Here is a 23,813-nt window from a genome sequence, read left to right as displayed (position 1 = left end):
TTTTTTCTTTCTCTGTGGATTGGGTTAATTCAAAGCATTTTTTCAAGTTCTGAAGTTATTTCTTTTACTTGTTTGATTCTATTGCTAAGATTTTCCAGTGTTATTTTGCATTTCTTTAAGTGTGTCCTTCAATTCCAGAAGTTGTGATTTTTTTTACTTATGCTATTTATTTCTCTGGAGATTTTCCATATCTATATCCTGTATCTTTTTTTTTTTCTTTAAGTTGGTATTCACCTTTCTCTGGTGCCTCTTTGAGTAGCCTAATAATCCACCTCCTGAATTCTTTTTCTGGCAATTCAGAGATTTCTTCTTGGTTTGGATCCATTGCTGGTGAGCTAGTGTGATCTTTTTGGGGTATTAAAGAACCTTGTTTTGTCATATTACCAGAAATGTTTTTCTGGTTCCTTCTCATTTGGCTAAACTATGTCACAGGGAGGATCTGGGGCTCAAGGGATATTGCTCAGATTCTTTTGTCCCATGGGGTGCTCCTTTGATGTGGTGCTCTCCCCCTTCCCCTATGGATGGGGCTTCCTGAGAGCTGAACTGCAGTGATTATTTCTCTTCTGGGTCTAGTCACTCAGCAGAGCTGTTGTGCTCCAGGCTGGTACTGAGGAGTGTCTGCAGAGAGTGCTCTGATGTGATCCATCTTCAGGTCTCTCAGCTGTGGATACCAGCACCTACTGTGGTGAAGGTAGCAGGGGAGTAAAGTGGACTGTCCGAGGGTCCTTGGTTGTAGTTTTGTTTAGTGCACTGGTTTTGTGTTGGTTGGCCTCTAGCCAGGAGGTAGAGCTTTCAAGAGAGCATCAGCTGAGGTAGTATAGGAAGGGTTCAAACTTGCCCTAGGGTCGCCTGGATAAGTATTCAGGTTTCTCAGGTGGTCTTTGGGGCCATACAGTTCCCAAGAGATTAGGTCCTTTATCTTCGGCTTTCAGGCAGCTAGAGTAAGACCATCAGGTTGTGGTAGGATTAGGCATGTCTGAGCTCAGACTCTCTGTGCGGAGCTTGCTGCAGCTACTGTGGGAGATGGAGGTGTGTTTCTCAGGCCACTGGAGTTATGTTTGAGAGGGATTATGGGCACCTCGTGGAACAAAAGAATCTGTCTTCTGCTGCGTCATAGAGATTACCAGGGAAGTGGGGGAAAGCCAGCAGTGACAGGTCTCACCCAGCTCCCACACAGCCCGAAAGGCCAGTCTCACTCCCACCATGCCCCTACAACAGCACCAAGTTTATTTCCAGGCAGCCAGTGAGCAGGGCTAAGAACCTGCCCCAGGCTCCAAGCGCCTCCACAGGGAAAGCTAGCAGGAATTTCAGTTTGGGTGCCTTTCTGCCTGCCACAGTTTCTGTACTTGTGTCTGTACTCCCTGTTCACCCCCTCCCCCAGATTCTGTCCAGGAAAGTTTGCATTCAAGTGAAATTGTTACAAAGTTCACCTGAAAGTTTCCTTCTCCCTGTGGTCTTTTCCCAATTCCACTGGCCCTCCCCAAGGACCCCTGTGAGACAAAGTCAGGAATGGCTTCCCTGGGGACTGAGAGTGCTATTTCACTGTCTAAACGTTTGTCTCAGCTCCAGGAAAGGTCAAATCCTTCTTTTGTGATCTGGACCTTCAGTTTCCCCAGTGAGGACGTGTGTTCAGAGGTGGATGTTCCCCCTCTTATACTTTGGGCACTCACCATCTTTCGGCTGTCTCACGGTGCCTTTGGTGGCAAACTGCTTCCTTCAAAGGGTCTGTGGATTCTCTCAGCTTTCCTGGTATGTTCCTGTGGAAGTTCTTGGAGCAAAAGTTAGCAACGCGAGTCTCCACATGCTGCTCTGTCTGTCCGAGTTGGTGCTGCAAATTAGTCCTGCTCCCTATCTGCCATTTTTCTCAGTGTTAACTGAAAATGTCTATTTCTTTTCAGCTTTATCAACTCTGGAATTCATCAGCATTTGAATATTTGCTAGTCTGATATTTAAAAGGAATAACTTATACAAATTTCTGAAGTTGTGAGTTTGTTTCTGTTGGTTTGTTGTTACCCTTTTCTCCCCTACTTCTTTATCGTGGTGGCTTGTTTCCCTATAGGCTTATTTGAACATGTTGGCAATAGAAAATTATTTGTGAGCATTCTTTGTGTTGTAGATTAAAGTGTTTTCATCCACAGAGCCTTTGTGTTACTACTTTTAGGTACCAATGGGCACTTATTGTCAGGGACTACATTTACCTAAACTCTTCATGAAGTTTGCAGGACTACAAAGGTGATGTGAATTTTTGCCACATAGTAGCTTGTTGGTCTACCTGTAGCCTTGAATTTTGCGGGGAGTGGTTTCTGCACAATAAATACTCCTTTCCCTATCCGCTTGTTCAAGGCAACTTTCCTTTAAGTCAGCTGGGGGGGTATTTATACAGGTTTACTTCAATTCACTTTTACCTGAGTGAATTTCCCTTGGGGAACTTGAACTTATTACACTGAGCTGTGATCACTGTACTGTCAATCCTGGAAGACTGTCACAGCCTGCGCTCTATTGCTCTCATTTGACAAAAGCCATCAGACTAAAATGGTTTTAGTGCTCTTCTCACCTCCTTGGATTCATGCCTTTTACTTTCTTCAGACCTAGTTTCCAGTTTTCAAATTCTCTTCACTTGCTACCTCACTGCCACATGCTCAGCTTCCTGTCGTTGGTATGCTCCTGCCTCTGTGGGTACCTTCACCCCCACAACACATATTTTGCCTTCCACCACTGTTTCTGCTGCTTCTACCCCCTCTTTATTTGCGGTAATTATTTTTGCTTGGTAGTTTTCTAATAACTTTTCCTATTTAATAAACACTAAAATGCTTATAAACAACGTATTTATACTGTTAATTTTCATATATGAGATCTTTGATATTTTTAAAAATATACCATCTGTTGTTTCTGCTGAGAAAAAGTATAACATTGAGTTATTTTTCATTTTTTAAATTATGTGTGAGATTGACCATATTTTTATTAATTCATTGGCTGTAGTCTTTTTCAATGACATCCCATTTTTAAGTTTCTCATTTGTTCATTGGGTTGTTTTCCTTTTTAATATATTTTTTAAATTTATTTTTTATTTTGTGTATTTATGGTGTACAGGATGATGTTTTGATATATATATGAAATGATTACTGTAGTCATGCAAATTAATATATCTAGCACTTCACATAGTCACCCTCTGCCCATTTTTAAGCCAGGTTATTTGGGGTTATTTTGCTACTGAGTTATGTGAGTTTTATTTATATATTTTGGATATAAATACCTTATCAATTATATGGTTTGAAAGTATTGTTTTCCATTCTGTAGGCTGCCTTTTCATTTTGTTGATTGTTTCCTTTGCTGTGCAGAAGCTTTTTAATTGGATACAGTCCCACTTGTTTATTTTTGCTTTTGTTGCCTGTGGGTTTTTAAATTATTGATTTCTAGTTTTATACCACTATTGTTGGAAAATATACTTGAGTTGATTTCAATCTTATTCAGTTTCTTAAGACTTGTTTTATGTTCTAACTTGTGATTTATCTTGGAATATGTTTTATAGGCACTTGAGAAAACTATGTATTCTGCTGCCATTGGATTAAATGTTCTGTATATATGTCTGCAAGGTCCGTTTAGTCAAAAGTGTGCTTAAGTCAAATTTTTCATTTTTGATTTTCTATCTGGATGAACTGCCCATTGCTGAAAGTGGGGCACTGACATCGCCTACTATTATTATATTGCCCTATATTCCCCCCTTTAGATCTATAAACGTATGCTTTGTATATTTCAGTGTTTTCATGTTGCCTGCATATACATTGACAGTTGTTATGTCTTCTTGATGAATTGACTCCTTCTTTGTCTCTTGTGGCACTTTTTGTTGTAAAGTATATTTTTTCAGATATTAGTGTAGCTACTCCTGCTCTTTTTTGGTTTCTATTTATATGTAATCTCTTTTTCCATCCCTTCTCTTTCAGTCTATGTATGTCCTTACAGGTGAAATTAGCTTTGTAGGCAGAATATAGTTGGGTTTTGTTTTGTTATTTACCTAGCTACTCTGTGTCTTTAGATTAGCATACTTAGTCCATTTACATTTAAAGTAATAATTGATAGGTAAAGATATATACTATCGCCATCTTACTAATTTTTTGGTTGCTTTTGTAGATCCTTTGTTTCTTTCTTCCTCTCCTGCTGTCTTCCTTTGTGATTTGGTGATTTTCTGTAGTGGTATGCTTTTATTCCTTTTTTTTTTTTTTTTTACTTTTGTATATGCTATAGGTTTTTGCTTTGTGGTTACCATGGTGCTTATGCAAAACATCTTTTGGCTACACAAGACCATTTTAAGCTGATAACAACTCTGACTGCATACAAAGTGCCTGCACTTTTACTGCTCCTCCCCAATTTTACATCTTTGATTTCACAGTTTACATCTTTTTATATTGTGTATACATTCACAAGTTAATATTAACAGTTAATTTTAATGCTTTTGTCTTATGTCTTTTAACCTTTATACTAGAGTTAAAAGTGATTTACATACCACCATGGCAGTACTAGAGTATTTTGAATTTCACTAAATGTTTACTGGTGAGAAAACATACTTTCATATGTTTTCATATTACTTACCAGTGGTCTTTCATTTCACCTTCAATAATTTTCTTTAGCATTTCTTGTAAAGCAAGTCTGGTGGTGATTAATTTCCTCAGCTTCTGTTTGCCTGGGAAAGTCTTTATCCCTCTTTTCTAAAGCACAGGTTTTCTGGGTCAAGTATTCTTGGCTGGCAGTTTTTTTCTTTTAACACTTTAAATAAATCAGTCAAGGGGGCAGAAAAGATGGCCAACTAGACATAGCCAGAAAGAGCTTTGTCCACTGATAGACTAGACCATCAAGAAGACTGGCACATTTTTAAGCAGATCTTCATAAGGCATTGAGAGTGGATGAGGGGAGGACACAGACTCTGGCATAAAGCAAGAGGAAGCTGAGAACCTTGCACAGGGTTGTCAACCACCAAGACTCGTTGCTGGCCCCAAGTGGCTCCTGGGAAAGGGGCGAGTTAAATATGCATGGAATGGCCCACTTTTGCCACAAGCTCTGGAAGCCTGGCTGCAGGATACCCCATGTTCCCCATGGACACGTGAGCTAGCACAGAAAACTGTTTGGAGAGTTGCCAGAGAGAGGACTCCAGCCTGTACAGAATCCAAGTGTTTGCTATGGAAATGGCTATAATGGAGCGTGGCCAGGGATGCCCATCCCCCAAGGCTCATCACGTTCCTCTAGGTGGCATTGTCCTTTATTGACTGTTGGACCTCAACAGAACAGGGCTATCTTGCCTCTGAGATGGGGCCAGTCCGATTTGGATGCACCCTGTCTGCTGGCCTCTCCCAAGGTTCCTGCCTGTCTGCACTTGCTTGTAAGGAAGCCTCAGGTGTCCAACCAGGACACTTCCCAGTGGCCACTGTCATAACTCTTTTGTTGGCAGACACCCCCCCAACCCACCAACTGTCAGAGAGTTTCTCCAAATAAGCCCCCACTGGCAAGCACCCACCCTTGGCTTCCCACAACTGCTTTGCTTGTGCAAACCCACCCACCCACTCTCCCCACTCCCCCACATCTTTGCCAGATTACACTCAACTGCAGTCTTCCCCCAATGCTTCACTGGTGTGTGTCCATGTGTGGACCTCACCACCCAACCACAATCAGTGTGTGTACATGCAAACATCACCACCACTGTCCTGCCCTTGTGGGCATGTGCATGTATGGAACCCACAACCCCACTGCCATTGGCATGAATACATGCATTTAAAATCCACCACCCCACTGCCACTGCTGCTGCCAATATGTGTGCGTACCCAACTACATGACCATCTTGCCAACACTGGTACATGCACACAGACTCCATCATGCTGCCACCCCACTCCTGACATGCATGCATGGACCACACCACACTGCTGCCGCCAGCACACATGTGCGTGCAAACCATGCTGCACTGCTAGTGCATGTATACATACCCTGCCACACCACTGCCCTACCACCACTGGTGTATGCATGTGGACCCTGCTGCTACTGCTACAATGAAACACTTTGGCTGGAACTCCCCCAGACCCTACCCTGGAATGTTATTACCAGTTGATTAAGAACACCTTAGCCCCTGCAGCACAGCACGTGTTTAACCTAAAGGGACTAGCAAATAAAGCTGTGGGCTGGCTCCCAGAGTTCTAAGCTAAGCTTTGCACCCTGAAATCATCCAGAAACAAAGCCAGTCAACTGAACCCAACTTATACCACAATCAAACTCTGAATAGCATCACAGAATATAAAAGCAAAAAGCCCCATCCAAAGAACAGCAACTTCAAAGATTAAAAGAACATCAGCCTACACAAATGAAAAAGTATCAGCACAAGAAAAATGGCAATTAAAAAAGCCAGAGTGTTTTCTTAGCTCCAAACAACCAGAGTAGCTCCCTAGCAATGATTCTTAACCAGGCTGAAATGGCTGAAATGAAAGACATAGAATTCAGAATCTAGATGGCAACAGAGATCATCAATATTCAGGAGAAAGTTGAAACCTGATCCAAGGAATCTAAGGAATCCAGTAGTACAATACAAAAGCTGAAAGATGAAGTATCCATTTTAAGTAAACTAAAATGATCCTGATTAAGCTGAAAGACTCACTACAAGAACTTCATAATACAATTGGAAGTATTAACAGCAGAATCGACCAAGCAGAGGAAAGAATATCAGAGCTTGAAAACTGGTTCTTTGAATCAACCCAGTTACACAAAAATAAAGAAAAAAGAATGTAAAAAATGAATAAATCCTCTAAGAAATATGGAATTATGTAAAGAGACCAAAACTACAACACATTGGTGTCCCTGAAACAGAGGGAGAGAGAGCAAGCAACTTGGAAAACATATTTGTCAATGAAAATTTTCCCAACCTCACTAGAGACGTCAACATTAAAATTCAGGAAATTCAGAGAACCCCTGCAGGATACTATAAAAGATGACCATACTACAGTTAAGCCCTCAATGGTGTCAAAAAATATGAAAGCAAAAGCCCCATCCAAAGAACAGCAACTTCAAAGATTATAGGTACATCAGCAGACCTGTACCCAGGTTTCTTTCACATTCACCTTGGAGAATCTGATGACTACGTGTCTTAGGGATGTATTTGAACAAAGATACAACGTACTAGAATCTGTGGGCCATCCCCAAGACACATAGGTATCAGATTCTCCAAAGTGAACATGAAAGATAAAATATTAAAGGCAACTAGAGAGAAGGAACAGGTCATCTAAGAAAGGGGAACCCAGTCAGGCTAACAGAAGACCTTTCAGCAGAAACAGCCAAAAGAGATTGGGGGCCTATATTCAACATTCTTAAAGAAATCCCAACCAAGAATTTCATACTCAGCCAAACTAAGCTTCATAAGTAAAGGAGAAATAAGATCCTTTTTGGAAAACCAAATGCTAAGGGAATTCCTTACCACTACACCTGCCTTACAAGAGGTCCTTAAGGGAATGCTAAACATGGAAAGGAAAGACCATTACTAGTCACCACAAAAACACACTCAGTTACATAGACCATTGTCACTATGAACCAACTACAAAATCCAGTCTGCATAACAGCCAGCTGACAACACGATGAGACAATCAAATCCTCACATATCAATATCAACCTTTGAATGTAAATGCGTTTAACACCGCACTTAAAATGCACCGAGTGGCAAGTTGGATAAAGAAGCAAGACCCAGTTGTATGCTGTCTTCAAGAAACCAGTCTCACATGCAATGACACCCACAGAATGAAAATAAAGCGACAGAGAAAGATCTATCAAGAAAACTTAAAAAGAGAGAGAGAGAGAGCAAGCATAGTTTGCAATTCTTAATTCAGACAAAATAGACTTTAAACCAACAATGATCAAAAAGGACAAAGAATAGTGTTACATAATGATAAAGGGTTCAATTCAACAAAAAGACTTAACTCTTCTAAATATATATGCACCCAACACTGGAGAATCTAGATTCATAAAACAATTTCTTAGAGACCAATGAAGAGACTTAAATAACCACACAATGATAATAAACATGAACACCTCACTGACAATATTAAAGAGATCATTGAGGCAGAAAACTGACAAAGATATTCAAGACCTAAATTTGACAGTTGACCAAATAGACCTAACAGATATATTTAGAACACTCCACCCAATAACATCAGAATATACATTCTTCTCATTGGCACATACTCTAAGATTGGCCACATGCACAGACATAAAGCAATTCTCAACAAATTTATAAAAAATGAAATTATACCAACCACACTCTTGGACCACTGTATGATAGAAATAGAAGTAACTAGGCCAAGGCAGGCGGATCACAAGGTCAGGAGCTCGAGACCATCTTGGCCAACATGTTGAAACCCTGTCTGTACTAAAATACAGAAAATTAGCTGGACATGGTGATGTGTGCCTACAGTCCCAGCTACTCAGGAGGCTGAGGCAGAGGAATCACTTGAACCCAGGAGGTGGAGATTGCAGTGAGCCGAGAACCTGCCACTGCACTCCAGCCTGGCTACAGAGAGAGACTCCGTCAAAATAAATAAATAAATAAATAACTACCAAGAAGATCTCTCAAATTACACCATACAATTACATGGAAATTAATGTCCTCCTGAATGACCTTTGGGTAAACAATGAAGTTAAGGCGAAAGCAAGAAATTTCTTGAAACCAATGAAAACAAAGATACAACACACCAGAATTTCTGAAACACAGCAAAATCAATGCTAAGAGGAAAGTTATAGCACTGAATGCTCACATGAAAGAGTTAGAAAGATTTCAAATTAACAACATAACATCACACTTTGAGGAACCAGAAAAACAAAAGCAAACCAACCCAAAAGCTAGCAAAAGAAAATAACCAATCTCAGAAATAAACTAAATGAAATGGAGACATGAAAAACCATACAAAAGATCAGTGAAGAAAAGTTGATTCTTTAAATAAATAAATAAGATTGATAGACTGCAAGCTAGGCTAGTAAAGAAAAAGGAGAAAATCCAAAACAACACAATCAGAAATGAAAAGGGGAACATTACCGCTGACTTCACAGTAATACAAAAATCCCTCAGAGTCTATTACAAACACCTCTATGCACACAAACTAGAAAATCTAGAACAAACGGATAAATTCCTAAAACATGCAGCCTCCCAAGATTGAGTTAGAGAAATTGAAACCCTGAACAGACCAATGAGTTCTGAAATTTAATCAATAATAAAAAAAAAAACCTACCCACCAGAAAAAGCCCAGGACCAGACAGATTCACAGCCAAAATCTACCAGATGTATAAAGAAAAGCTGGTACCAATCCTACTGAAGCCATTCCAAAAAGTTGAGGAGGAGAGATTCCTCCATAACTCATTCTGTGAGGCTAGTGTCATTCTGATACCAAAACCTGGCAGAGACACAATAAAAAAAGAAAACTTCAGGACAAAAACCCTGATGAACTTAGATGCAAAAATCCTCAACAAGATACCAGCAAACCAAATCCAGCAGCATATTGAAAAGCTAATCCACCACAATCATGTAGGCTTTATCCCTGGGATGCAAGGTTGGTTCAACATATGCAGATCAATAAATGTGATTCAGCACACAAGCAGAACTAAAAACAAAAACCACACGATCATCTCAATAGACACAGAAAAGGCTTTCAATAAAATCCAACATTACTTCATGTTAAAAACTCTCAACTAACTAGGCACTGAGGTAACAAACCTCAAAATAATAAGAGCTGTCCATGACAAACCCACACCTAATGTCATTCTAAATAGGTAAAAGCTGGAACCATTTTCCTTGAGAACTGGAACAAGACAAGGATGCCCACTCTTAGCACTCCTATTCAATACAGTACTGGAAGTCATAGTTAGAGCAATCACACAAGAAAAGAAATAAAATGCATCCAAATAGGAAGAGAGGAAGTCAAACTATCTGTTTGCAGATAATATAATTTTATTCCTAGAAAAACCCCATAGTCTCTGCCCAAAGGTTCCTAGAGCTGATAAACAACTTCAGTAAAGTTTCAGGATACAAAATCAATGTACAAAAATCAGTAGCATTTCTATACACCAATAACATCCAAGCTATGAGCCACATCAGGAATGAAATTCCACTCACAATAGCCACAAAAAGAATTAAATACCTAGGAATACAGCTAACTGGGAGGTGGTGAAGGATATCAGCAATGAGAATTACAAAACACTGCTGAAAGATATCAAAGGTGACACAAACAAATGGAAAAATATTCCATGCTCATAGATAGGAAGAATCAATAGTGTCAAAATGGCCATACTGCCTGAAGCAATTTACATATTAAATGCTATTCCTATCAAACTACCAATGACATTTTTCACAGAATTAGAAGAAAAACCATTCCAAAATTCATAAGAAAATAAAAAAGAGCCCAAATAGCCAAAGAAATTTGAAGCAAAAAGAACAAAACCAGAGGCATCATGCTACCTGACTTGAAACTACAAACTATACTACAAGGCTACAGTAACCAAAATAGCATGGTGTTAGTACAAAAACAGACACATAGACCAATGGAGGAGGTTAGAGAACCCAGAAATAAAGCTGCACATCTACAACCATCTGATCTTCAATGAAGCTGATAATAACAAGCAGTGGGGAAAGGATGCCCTGTTCAGTAAACGATGCTGCAATAACTGGCTAGCCAGATGCAGAAGAATGAGATTGGACCCCTTCCTTTCACCACATATAAAAATCAACTCAAGATGGATTAAAGATGTAAATGTAAAAACTAAAAACCCTGGAAGAAAACCTAGAAAATATCATTCTGGACATAGGCCCAGGCAAAGATTTTATGATGAAGACTCCAAAAGCGATTGCAACAAAAACAAACATTGACAAGTGGGACCTAATTAAACTAGGTCACAGCAAACGAAACTATCAGCAGAGTAAGTAGACAACGTGCAGAAAGGGAGAAAATATTTGCAAACTATGCATCTGACAAAGGTCTAATATCTAGAAACTATAAGGAACTTAAATCAATAAGCAAAAACCCCATTAAATACCTAGGAATACAGCAAACTGTATTTTAAACAACCCCATTTTAAAATAAGCAAAGAACATGAACAGACACTTCTCAAAATAAGATATACACATGACAAACAAGCATATGAAAAAATGTTAAACTCACTAATCATTACAGAAATGCAAAGCAAAACCATAATGAGATACATGTCGCACCATTCAGAATGGCCATTATTAAAAATTCAAAAAATAACAGATGCTGGCAAGGTTGAAGAGAAAAAGGAATGCTTATATACTGTTAGTGGGAATGTAAACTAATTCAGCCACTGTAGAAAGCAGTTTGGACATTTCTCAAATAACTTAAAACAGAGCTACCATTTGACCCAGGAATCCCATTACCAGGTATATATACAAAGGAATATTAATTGTTCTACCATAAAGATACATGCACGTGAATGTTCATCACAACACTATTCATGATAGCAAAGACATGGAGTCAACCTAAATGCCCATCAATGGTGGACTGGATAAAGAAAATGTGATACATATACACCATGGAATACTATGAAGCCATAGAAAAGAACAAAATCATGTCCCTTGCAGCAACATGGAAGTAGCTAGAGGCCATTATCCTAAGCAAATTAATGCAGAAACAAAAAACTAAATACTGCATGTTTTCACTTTTAAGTGGGAGCTAAACATTTAGTATATATGGACACAAAGAAAGGAACAATAGACTCCAGGGCCTACTTGAGGGTGGAGGGTGGGAGGAGGGTAAAGATATAACAAATTACCTATTGGGTACTATGCTTCTTACTTGGGTAATGAAACAATCTGTACACCAAACTCCCACAACATGCAATTTACCCATGTAAAAAATCTGCATATGTACTCCCTGAACCTAAAATAGAAGTTGAAAAAAAACAACTAATCTATAAAATTTTTGAATGGTGGGGAAATATATATGTAAAATTCCACTCTCTCCAGGCAAGATTTTTTCTGAGACATTTGATAGCCTTATTAGGGTTCCCTTGTATGCGATATCCTTATTTTCTCTTGCCTCTTTCAAAATTAATTGTGTCTTTGATTTTTGACATATTGATTATAAAGTCTCTTGGTGTAAACTTCTTTGGACTGACTTTGAATGGAGACCTTTGAACTTCATGTACCTGGATGGTCATATGTTTCTCATACTTGGGAAGTCTGCAGCCATTATTTCCTTAAATAAGCTTTCTGTCCTGTTCTGTCTCTCTTGTCCTTCTCTAACTATTATTATGCAAATGTCCTTCTCTAACTATTATTATGCAAATCTATGGAGTTCCATAGATCTGATTCCGTAAACTTTCTTCGTCCCTTTTTATTTAAAAAAATGTTTTTCTCTGCTGACTGGACTATTTCAAATAATCTGTCCTTGAATTCACTTCTTCTTTCTTCTGCTTGATCTAGCCTGCTATTGAAGCTCTCTATTGCGTTTTGTAGTTGTACTTCATAATTCAGTCATTGTGTTTATCGGATCTAAAACTTCTGCTTTCTCTTTGTTTAGCTTTTCATTTTGTTCTTGTATTGTTTTCCTGGTTTCATTAACATATTTGTCTGTGTTCCCTTGTAACTCAGTGAGCTTCTTTGGAATAATTATTTTGAATTCTTTGACAGGCCTTCTGTTGACCTCCATTCCTTTACGGTCAGTTCCTGGAATTTTTGTTCCTTTGATGTTGACACATTTTTCTGATTCCTCACACTTTTCTCATTCCTGATTATTGTAGTCTTGTGAAGATATCTGCATATTTGAAGTCATCCCGTCTTTCAGACTTTATGGATGGGCTCTAGTTAAAAAAAAAAAAAAAAAAGGATGGGGGTTCATGTGCAAGGGATGGAAAGGGTGTGCACTGTGGCATCAGGTCTAGTGATTCTGGGCACCTCATGTTGGGGCATGCTGCTGCTCCAAGTCTGTGGTTGGGGAGGCACCCAGTATCTCATCAGCTTAGGCAGCTGGGGTTTGTGATATAAGCTACTATGTGATCCCTGGTGGCAAGAGCTGTGGGAGGTCCACAGTGGCAGTGAGGACTGCTCTAGTCCTTAGTGGCTCCTCTTGGTCCAGCGGCAGGGGGCCAAGGTAAGTAATGGTGTGGTCAAGGGGCTGTGATGGGAGGGCCAGGCCATTTGATGTCATATGTGTAAGTAGCTGCACTGTAACCCTGAGCTGGGGTGCCTGTGGTGGCAGTAGCTGGGGTGGCTTCAAGGAGAGAGGAGTGATGGTCCTCTGAGCTAGAGTGTTCACTGTGACAACAGCAGAGGTGGCCCCAGGGAGGAAGAGGTGGGAGGAAGAGGGATTGTGCCTCAGGTACCTGGTGACTGTGAAGGAAAAACTGCAAGGCCCTCAGTGGTGAAGGCTATAGGAAGTCTGTTGTGGCTGTGCTAGCTATTGTTTACCTCTTTAGCAAAAGCTGCTGGGATCCTCTGTGGGGCAAGCAGATGGGGTCTGCAACAGCAAACATTGCAGGGTTCCTAGTGGAGAAAGCGACAGAGGGGTACATGATAACTGTAAGTGTTGTTGGGATATGCAGCAGAGACATGTACCAGAGTCCTGTATAGAGTAGAATAATAGCAACTGTGGTGACTCTCACAACATAGCTGATACCAGTAAGCCCACATTGCTCTTCTTTGTTCCTAGACTTTTCCATATGTCCCAGGTTTGCCATTTTCCCCAGCGATCTGGGTAGGGTGATTTGGCCAGTTCCTGAAAGGCTGGGGAAGCTGCTTATTCATCCTCCCCTTCCTTTGTCTGTGAGAGGGACTTGCTAGCCAGAGATCACTCTCCATGCTGAGCAGTGCCAGCACTGGGGATGGGGTGATGCAGGCAAAATGAAACTGTTCTTTCTTCACTTTTTGTGTAATTATTCTTGAGTTTTTTATTCTACTGTATTACTACATCTTTTGGACTCCTGAGCCCTTCCAGAGTTATTAACCTTCATGAATGGCTGCCAAATTATTGCTCTCTGTGGGAGGAATGAAGGCTGTGATCTCCTACTCTGCCATCTTCCTTTGCCTTTTTCTTATTAATTTGTAAGAATTCTTTATGTATTAAAAGGAAATTGGTCCTTTATCTGTCCTGCCAGTTTGTCATTAGTCCTTTTAACTTACTCTAATTTTTACCACAAAATTTTTTAAAAGTTAAATACAACAAATATTCTGCCCTAAGAATTAATTCATTAATCATCAAATTTTTGAAGTGCCAACTATATGTCAATTACTATCCTAGGTGCTTAGGATACCTCAGTGGACAAAAAGGACAAATATCCCTGCGCTCATGGAGCTTGATTCAAATGAAAAAGAGGGCATTAGCACTACGCATGATGAGTACCTGTAAAAAAACTTTATGTGGTATAATAGAAAGTAACCGTTATGGAGGACAGGGAAGGTAGACTAATGGGAATTGGGGGTGCAGAGTTGGGTGTCATGGTAAAAGTAGGTCATAGTATTAAATAGGGAGGTCAGGATAGTCATTGAGAAAGTAAGACTTGAGCAGAAACCTGAAGAGTGTGGGGAAATTTACCAAGTGGACATCTAAGGGAGTTGCATTTTACTTAAAAGGAGGGCCTGGGCAAATGACCCACAGCTGCCTGGCAGGCCACAGGAATACCAAGCAGGGAGTGTTACTGGAGCCACATTAGCTAGAAGGATAGTTATAGGAAATGGAGTCAAAAAGGTATGGGGATGGGGGAGATCAAATATTACCCAGGACTTCTGTGTAATGACTTTATTCTGAGTGAAATAGGGGGTCTACATTTTAGACAGCTCCATCAGGAATAGAATAGGGGAAAATGTAGGGGAATAAAGATAGAAACTAGAGACAGGTAAGCGACCATTGCAATCATCTCTCCAGTGGATTAGAACAGGATGATAACAAGGAGAGGAACAGGCAGGTTCTAGATATATTTTGATCATATAGGTAGTGTGATTTCTTGATCAGTTAATTGTGGGGTATGAGGAGAAAAGAGACATCAGGAATGGCTCCATGATTTTGTCCTTAACATCCTGGTAGTTATTAACTACCAGGATGGAGTTATAATCAACTGAGATGGTGAAAGGATGCAGGTAGGGCAGGTGCTGGGGGTGATATGAGAGTTTCATTTTGGATAGGCTGTTTCAGCTGTCTGTTAACCTTATAGTCAGGAGAGGTACCACCTATGCAGTTAGATTTATGAGTTTAAAGATTAAAAGAATAGTTTGGGCTGGAAAAATAACTTTTGTAATAGTCTGGCTGTGGAAAATTATACTTTAAAGTCCATAAACTGGGTAATCACTAAGAAAGTAAATGTTGATAATATGCTAGCTGGAACCTGAGTACTCCGGTATTGGGAGGCTAAGGAGAAGTTGAGGAAATAACAAAGGAGACTGAGCAAAACAGTGTGTGAGATGGGATAAAAACCAAGAACGTAGACTGCCTGTAAACAACGTGTAGTGTACCAGAGAGGAGAGTGATTAGCCCTGTCAAATGCTGATAATAGATCAAGATGAGGACTGACACTTGTCTGTGAGATTTGGCAACGTGAAGGTCATTGGTGACCTTGAGAAGAGGAGTTTAAATTGAATGGTGAAGGCAAAAGCCTGATTGAAGTGGGTTTAAGAGAAAACAAGAGAAGAAATGGAAATGACAAGCGTAAACAGTTATTTCAAGAGGTTTTTGCTGCAGGAAAGCATAGAAATAGAGAAATCACTGGCCTGGCAAAGGAAGTGGGATTGAGAGGGTTCTTTATGAAGATGGAAAAAAAATCACAGCATTTTAAAATGCTGATGGGGAATATCTGGTAGAGAGGGAGAAAATGATACTGTGAGAAAGGGAGAGGGAAGAATTACTGGATTAATGTTTGAATAGTCAGGAAGAGAGGGGTTCATGTTGAGTAACGTGGTATGGTAGTTCACCTGAGTAATGTAGAGGCAGATGCTCAAAAGTGGGGAGTGTGGTTTGGAGAGTCTGGAATTTCTCTTCTGATCACTTTGTTTTTTCTCAGTGAACTCTAGTTTCACTATAGGAAAGGTCTTCAACTCAGAGTAAAGTTGGTGGAACAAGTGTTGAAGGTTTGAGAATGGAGGAGAAGGTATAAAATAGTGCTTCAGAGAGGGAGAGAGTACATGCATTAGGGAAAAGGACCCTTCAAAATGGTGACCTGAAACCACACAAAGACAAGAGAGGCATGCAGAACCTAAGAGTATGTCGCTTAAACATTGTAAGAGACCTAAAGAGAAGCAAAATCCAGATGAAGGAGTGAAGAGTGTCAGATACTGGCTTTTTGAACTAGCACAGCCTAATCATAACTTGAAAATTCAGTACTAGATGACTTGAATCTTAGGGATGAGAGCATGGATTGATATTTCCTATTGGCCTTAAGATTTTCAAATTGAGCTTCCTTATTATCCTAAGAAAAATTGCACTGAGTCTCTTCAACCCCAGGTCACCCAAATTTTTGGCCAATATTTATTGTTAGTCAACTGGAATGATGTATCCTGAAAATTCTTTGGTTAAGACCATCCCCAAATAATTTGGATTGTCCCACTGCCTTTTTTTTTTTTCCGACACAGAGTCTTGCTGTGTCACCTAGGCTGGAATGCAGTGGCGCTATCTTGGCTCACTGCAACCTCTGCCTCCCAGGTTCAAGCAATTCTCCTGCCTCAGCCTCCCAAGTAGCTGGGATTACAGGCACCCACCACCACACCCTGCTAATTTTTATATTTTTATAGAGATGGGGTTTCACCATGTTGGCCAGGCTAGTCTCAAACTCCTGACCTCATGATCCGCCCACCTCGGGCTCCCAGAGTGCTGGGGTTACAGGCATGAGCCACCGCGCCCAGCCCCATTGCTTCCTTAGTAAGAAAGTCTATTTTAACTCCAAATAAGTGTAAAATTAAATACAGAGATGATGAAGTAAATATAACATATATCAGTGATGCTTTTGTTTTAAGGACTTACCTGAATGAATCTGACTTAGTAGAGTCACAAACTAGCTTGTGGTTCCCATAAATGCTTAGCTGAATCATCCTTTGATGGGGAATTGTTATTCTAAGTGGAAATGTTAGTAAGATAATCTGAAACATTGTCAGTAGCATATGACTTTCAACACTTAAAAGTTTAACTTACTACAATTACAAGGCTTATTTAAGTACCCATGAAGGTTTCATACGCTAATAAGACTTTTGAGATTCTAAAAATCCAGTTGGATTTATCAAATTTATAAATGTAGCTTAAAATGTTAAGAAGTTTGTTTGTAAGCAAAAACCTCCTTAAGTGTACTTGATTAGATAATAGACTAATAGGACTACATTTAAATGATCTTAAAAGCTTCAGGAAGCACTAGGTATTTCAATTTGTACCTAAAATAAATTGAGACAGATTAGATAAACAAAGTGTTGTACATGTATACCATGGAATACTATTCAGCCATAAAAAAGAACAAAATCATGTATTTGGCAGAAACATGGTTGGAGCTGGAGGCCATTATCTTTAGCAAACTAATACAGGAACAGAAAACCAAATACCACAAGTTCTCACTTATAAGTGGGAAGTAAATGATAAGAACTTACGAACACAAAGAAGGAAACATCAGACATTGGGGTTAGTTGAAGGTGGAGGGTGGGAGGAGGGAGAGCAGAAAAGGTGACTATTGGGTACTGGGCTTAATTCCTGGGTGATAAAATAATTTGTACAACAAACCCCCGTGACATGAGTTTACCTGTGTAACAAACCTTCACCTGTACCCCTGAACCTAAAATAAAAGTAAAAATAAATTAAAAAAATGAATTGAATACAGTTTTTAAAATCATTTATTTTGGACACCATATTTGCTTTCAAGGTCGTCTCAAAATCCTCATTGACATTTTTATTTATGGTTTATGACTATTTCTCTGACATCTTCTGGGTTCCAAGGAATATTTTGAAATAAAATCAGTGAGTGACACGATATATTTTTCCATTTAGTCAATCAATGATTATACCACTATCTTTTCACACCATATTTGAACTTTAATCGTGTACTAAATTTCCGGGTGTGTTTGTCCATTTCTTGACTCTCTGTTTGCTCTTATTGTTCAGCCTGTTTCTTCCATTGTACATAATTATTTTAATTATTCTCATTGCATAATGTCATATTCTCTCATAGCTTGAAGTCATATCATTTTGTTTATTTTATAGAATTTTTCTGACTATTCTCAAATGTTTATTTTTAGATGATCTTGAGTATCATTTTGTTAATATAAAAATACTTAAATGGTAATATTTTAATTTGAAGAACATTGAATTTGTATTTTGTTACAAACATATACTTAAATCAGAAATAGCGGTTTTACTGTGTCAATTGGTTCTTGAATACTTATTGAGATGATCGTGTTTTTTCCTCTTTTGACCTGTTAATGTAATGAACTATATTAATTAAGTTCTTTAAGTAGAAATAATCTTGTATTCCTGAGATAAACTCTACTTGATTGAGAATCCTTATTGTTTAAATGTATTGCTGAATTATATTTGCTAATAGTTGGAGATTTTCTAAATTATATTTATTGTTATGGGTCTGTTAACTTATTTGCCTTTCTTGGGGTTAATGTTGCATGTTGTATTTTATCAGAAAATTATTTAGCCAAATATTATTATTTGCTTGGAAATTTAAAAAATTCTCTTTATTTGTATTATGTGGTAGGGTGTTTCCCCTCTCTTCATTTGTGCCTATTAATGCTGTCTCCTGTTTTAAATTCTTAGTGTACCCAGTGGCATATCTCGTCATCATTCCTGGCTGGTCATTGATCTTTGTTTCAACTCTATTTCAGTTATCTTCCTCTTTGGTTTCTTCCTGTAACTTATTTTTATTTGTTCATAACTTTTTAACTTTTGCTTTCTTAAGTTTAGTTTGTGGGTTTTTTTCCTGAGCTTTTCATACCAAAAAAGCCCAAATCATTTATTTCAGTCTCTCGTTTGTTGTATTTGTCTGTGATTTCTTTTTTCACTGAGCATAGCCTTATTTGTATTCATAGGTTTTATCTTTATCATCATTGTTTTATAGATAGTCTTTGATTATATTTCAATTTCTCCATTCAATCAAGAGTTAAGTGAGAATTTCTCGCATTTTCCAGTGGTTGGTTGGCAATACTTTATTCTAAATAAAAAAATATATAATTAATCCTTTGCCAATGTATGCTTTTTAGTTCTAATATATCAATGAATATTGTAACATACATTAAAATCTTGTGGAATTCATAGCACTAGATTTCTTTATGTCTACATGATACCAACACGAATGTGATTAAATAAAAAGTTTAGAAGTAAACATATTTTTCCCACCTGAGCAACATACCCTGAATTAAAATGTATGCATGTGAATTGGCTCTTACTCTTTAGAATTTCAGTTTCATTTTTCAGTGAAAATACAGAGTATGGCTCTAACGTATTTGAAGAAAAAATACATATATATTATCAGGCACAGGGTAAATCTGGAGATTATACATAGCAGAGCTTTGGACCACTTTGTCAGAAAAACAAAACTTCAAACTTTCATAGCCCTGGAAAGAGTAGAAAATTAATCAGATAGCCTGATCCTATTAAACTCTGATTTCTAGACCCACTACCAATTCTTCGCACTTACCTCCTAGTTTGCTACCTCCTAACTACTATATTAAAGCACAGAAAATGAGAAGAAAAAAAATAAGTTCCTATTTTTCTACCACCCACAGATAATAATTTTAACATTTTTAAAGATTCAATTAATATTGTATGTATAAAATTCTTAATGAAAAGGAATAATCCCTTAAATCTTTTTCTGTTTCTTCTTTTCAAATCTAGTTATCTTCTTCCTAGATGCTCACAGCCATCATCTTTCCCAATTAGAAAAAAAAAAAAATTGTGACAGGTGTTTTCATTCCCCTGGGACTTTAAGAAGACAAGATGTACTTAATGCCTACATATTCTACAGATAGATGGAAAAAGGAAATCTTTCCTTTCTGATCATTAGCTCAGTGCCCTGTGTTGAGTTCTCTGGGCCTTGGGAAGGGCATGTGCTCCTGCAGAGAGGGGAGCTGCAAAGGCAGAAAATCAAGAAAACATTAAAGGACTAAAATATTTTCACTGAGATTCTTTCACTTGGAATAACAGTCAATAATAATTTTGACATTTTTATCCAAGCTCCAATATCCCTTCTAACACTACTAAAATTAAAAGCAAATTTTAGTAATGAGGGCTATTGAACAATGCTTCTGCACAGCCAAAGAGATAAATTTGAAAATAGTGGAACTATTCCACAGTGACCAAGTGTTGCAAAAGCGATGTGTGATTTCTTGGAAATCAGGGTTAAGTCACAGAAAAACTGTACTATACCAACGGGAATCCTAACAAGACTTTGTCTCATGTGTCTAAAGCACTATTATCTGCTTAATATAGCCAGAAATTTTGATCAGCTCAGGTTGGCAAAAAATAACAACAACAGCAAAAAAACCTCTGCTTGTCTGGACTTGTATTTGATCAATGAATAGAATGAAATGAAAAGGCTGCTTGCAAAAAAGAATATTCCTTAATATTGGCTAGTATTTAGTCAAATTGTGTCCCTTCAACCCCCAGAAACAATTGCAGAATCTTTTCTGGAGGTCAGAGAAGTAAATAGGTAAGAAAGCCCTTTTTGCGTAGCTAATTCCACGTTTTGGAGAAGGACAGAGCCCATCGAAGAAGAGAAGAGTGGCAATGACGGTGATCTTGGTGACAGTGATGGTGATAGCTCTTACTATATCCTAGACATCATGCTAAGTTTTTCATCCTAAATATCTCATTAAGTTGCACAGTACTAGGTGTGTTCTGCCTGAAGGGCAAAGCAGATGACATATAACTCAATATCACACAGTAGCAATGTATAAAATACTGACTAGATACAAAGGATAAATATTCTCATAATACAAACTAGAAGAAAGGCATAATACCTTTAACACTGCATCTTCCATAGGGGTCATAAGTCAGTGATGCTAGCCATTACCCAAAGTTGAGAGGCACGTATTCATGGCCGCCACAGAGACTAGATGCGGAGATCAGCTTCACCTTGGTATTTGCCACAGACTAAAGGACAGTGCAATGTACTCATGTAGTCATTCACTCATTCTCTCATTCATTCACCAAACATTTATAGTACATGTGTGTGCAAGATACTATGCCAATTTCATAGGAGATTTAAACACAAATCTAATACTGGCACAAATAGATGTAAAACTGCAGCTTGACAAGTGCTATGGAAAAAAGTTTCACAGTGAAAATAACAGTGTGTAACAGAAATATCTAACCTAGTTATACAGTTAAGGAAGGCTCTCCTGAGGAAATTACACTTGAGCTGAGGTCTGAAGAATAAGTAGGTGTTAACTAAGCAAAGAAAGGACAATCAAAGGGTAGCATGACCAGAGGCCCTGTGGTGAGAAGAAGGAAGACATCAATGAACGGTGTGGGAAACCTTGAGTTCAGTGTGGAAGAAGTTGAGTGGTAGCCATCTTTGAGACACACAAGGTAATAGAGTCTAGATATTAGGAGAGCTCAGAGACTGCAGTTATGACTTTGTGAATCATCTGCAAATTTGAAGTAACAGATGCCACAAAACCAAATAAAGCCAGTTCACTGCATATATGCATACGCACATACGCACACGCACATACGCACACATAAACACACACACAAATGCTTTAAACCTTTTTTTTTTTTTTTTTTTTCTCTGAGGCGGAGTCTCGCTCTGTCGCCCAGGCTGGAGTGCGGTGGCGCCATCTCGGCTCACTGCAAGCTCCGCCCCCCGGGTTCCCGCCATTCTCCCGCCTCAGCCTCCCGAGTAGCTGGGACTACAGGCGCCCGCCACCACGCCTGGATAATTTTTGTATTTTTAGTAGAGACGGGGTTTCACCGTGTTAGCCAGGATGGTCTCAATCGCCTGACCTCGTGATCCGCCCGCCTCGGCCTCCCAAAGTGCTGGGATGACAGGCGTGAGCCACTGCGCCCGGCCATGCTTTAAACCTCTTACCCTGTCTTTGGGTGGAGGCAGCTCCAGACTTCACCTAGTTCCAGCTTGTTAGATATGAAAATAATATGGAATTTTTTTCAGCTATTATTTTCTGGAGCTCAAGGTATCAGATATCTCTTTGCTTTGCAGACATTTTTTGAATACTTTTCATGGTGAAGAAAATATTCTCGAGGTTTAAAAATAGTTTTTTGTCAGTTTACGATTCTATTTCTACCAGGGAATTTACAATAACCATTTAGAAATTTTCTCTGTAGTCAAGACAATGGGAAAAAATAACTGTCAAATGAAGAATATTATATTCAAAAAGTTGGTAGCCAACTTTTCACTTGAGGGTCTCGGTTCTCCCAAATTTAGATTTTGTTCTGAAATTTCCTGTACTGAGTTCAAACATGTAATCTCATTCTGGAGGCTAAATAAAATGTGAATGGTGACTACTTGCATTTTGATAAATTGTTCCTATGTAGGGACTTCATAATGGAAGTCACTGTCACCATTTTAATGTATTAAGGGACGGCTATGTGCAGATGGTATACATAGTCATTTCCTGGGTGTACAGGAGCCTGGGGTAAGCTGATTTATGATTTAATGATTTTTATCAGAATGAAATAAACATTTGATCTTTGGATTTGATCACCTTCTATCTGCAGCTGCGCCTCAACTAGCAATTACTTCCTCCTGGGCTCTTTGCCCGGGCAAATGGGGTTTGTCCTTGTTTCACATCTCACTGACTTCCCGGATAATAGACATGGTAACTGTTTGAACTATTGCTTCTTCTGGATTCCATAGCTTTAAAAATTTAAGAAAGGGGATTTTTCTCCTATCATTTTTCCCCATCACAATAAAATACTTCCTCTAATAATACACTTTGGGGGCTAATTTCCTTACCATAAAAACTTAAAAGCAACCTTTTGAGAACTCTTCTTTACAATAGAATACAACCTAGTGTAACACTATTTAAAAAGAAAAATACAAGATCAAGATGGTGAGGCAACACTCACATCTGTTTATTCACCTCCTCCTTATTGATATTATTTCAGTAGGCTTCCTCTGTATGGTTGAAACCAATCATACTCTCCACCTCCTAAGCACATTTTGCTTAAGGCAGAAACCAAAAGAATTTTCTTACTCTTTTCTTATTTCTTCCATGACTTCTTTGTATTTACTGCTCAATAATTTAAAACACATCATTTCTATTTTACAGTGTACCATTTTGTCCTTCTGTGATTGTTTCAATGTAACTGTGAAGAAAATAGGGCCTGTGACTCAACATTTTTCATATGTATGTGGTGGTTTCTGATTTCAAATGCAACACATTCAACAGATTTTGTTTTGCAGATGGAAAAGTTAATCAGATACATGCAGTATTTGTCTTCTCTATCCATGTTTGCTAAAGCCTATCCCTATTCTGAATGGCATATTTTTTCTACCTACCTCATTAAAAAGATAACATAATTAAAATGGTTAACTACCCAATAACAACAGATAAATTTGTTGCCAGCTTAAATCTTATATGTAGTTATCTGGTAAAAATGACTCTATTTACCAAATCTTATTAGTCATCTGATAAAATGGCTCTAACTGCTCTCCTTGTCTATAAGTGTTTAGTAGATTAAAACCTGGGATCTTTAATCCAAAAAAATTAAAACTGCCCCTGATTGTTATATTGAGGTGCCATCTGTCATTCCAGGTGTTTTCCTGGTTTTTCAGAGCTGAGAAGTGAGCTGTCTTCCAACTCACCTGCATAGGTGGAAGTCTTCCCAGATGCTGTGCTTGAATCTCTAATTTGATAT

This window comes from Homo sapiens, chromosome 3 (assembly GCF_000001405.40).
Source record: "Homo sapiens chromosome 3, GRCh38.p14 Primary Assembly".
In the NCBI taxonomy this organism is placed as follows: domain Eukaryota; kingdom Metazoa; phylum Chordata; class Mammalia; order Primates; family Hominidae; genus Homo; species Homo sapiens.
This window is presented reverse-complemented; position numbering follows the sequence as displayed.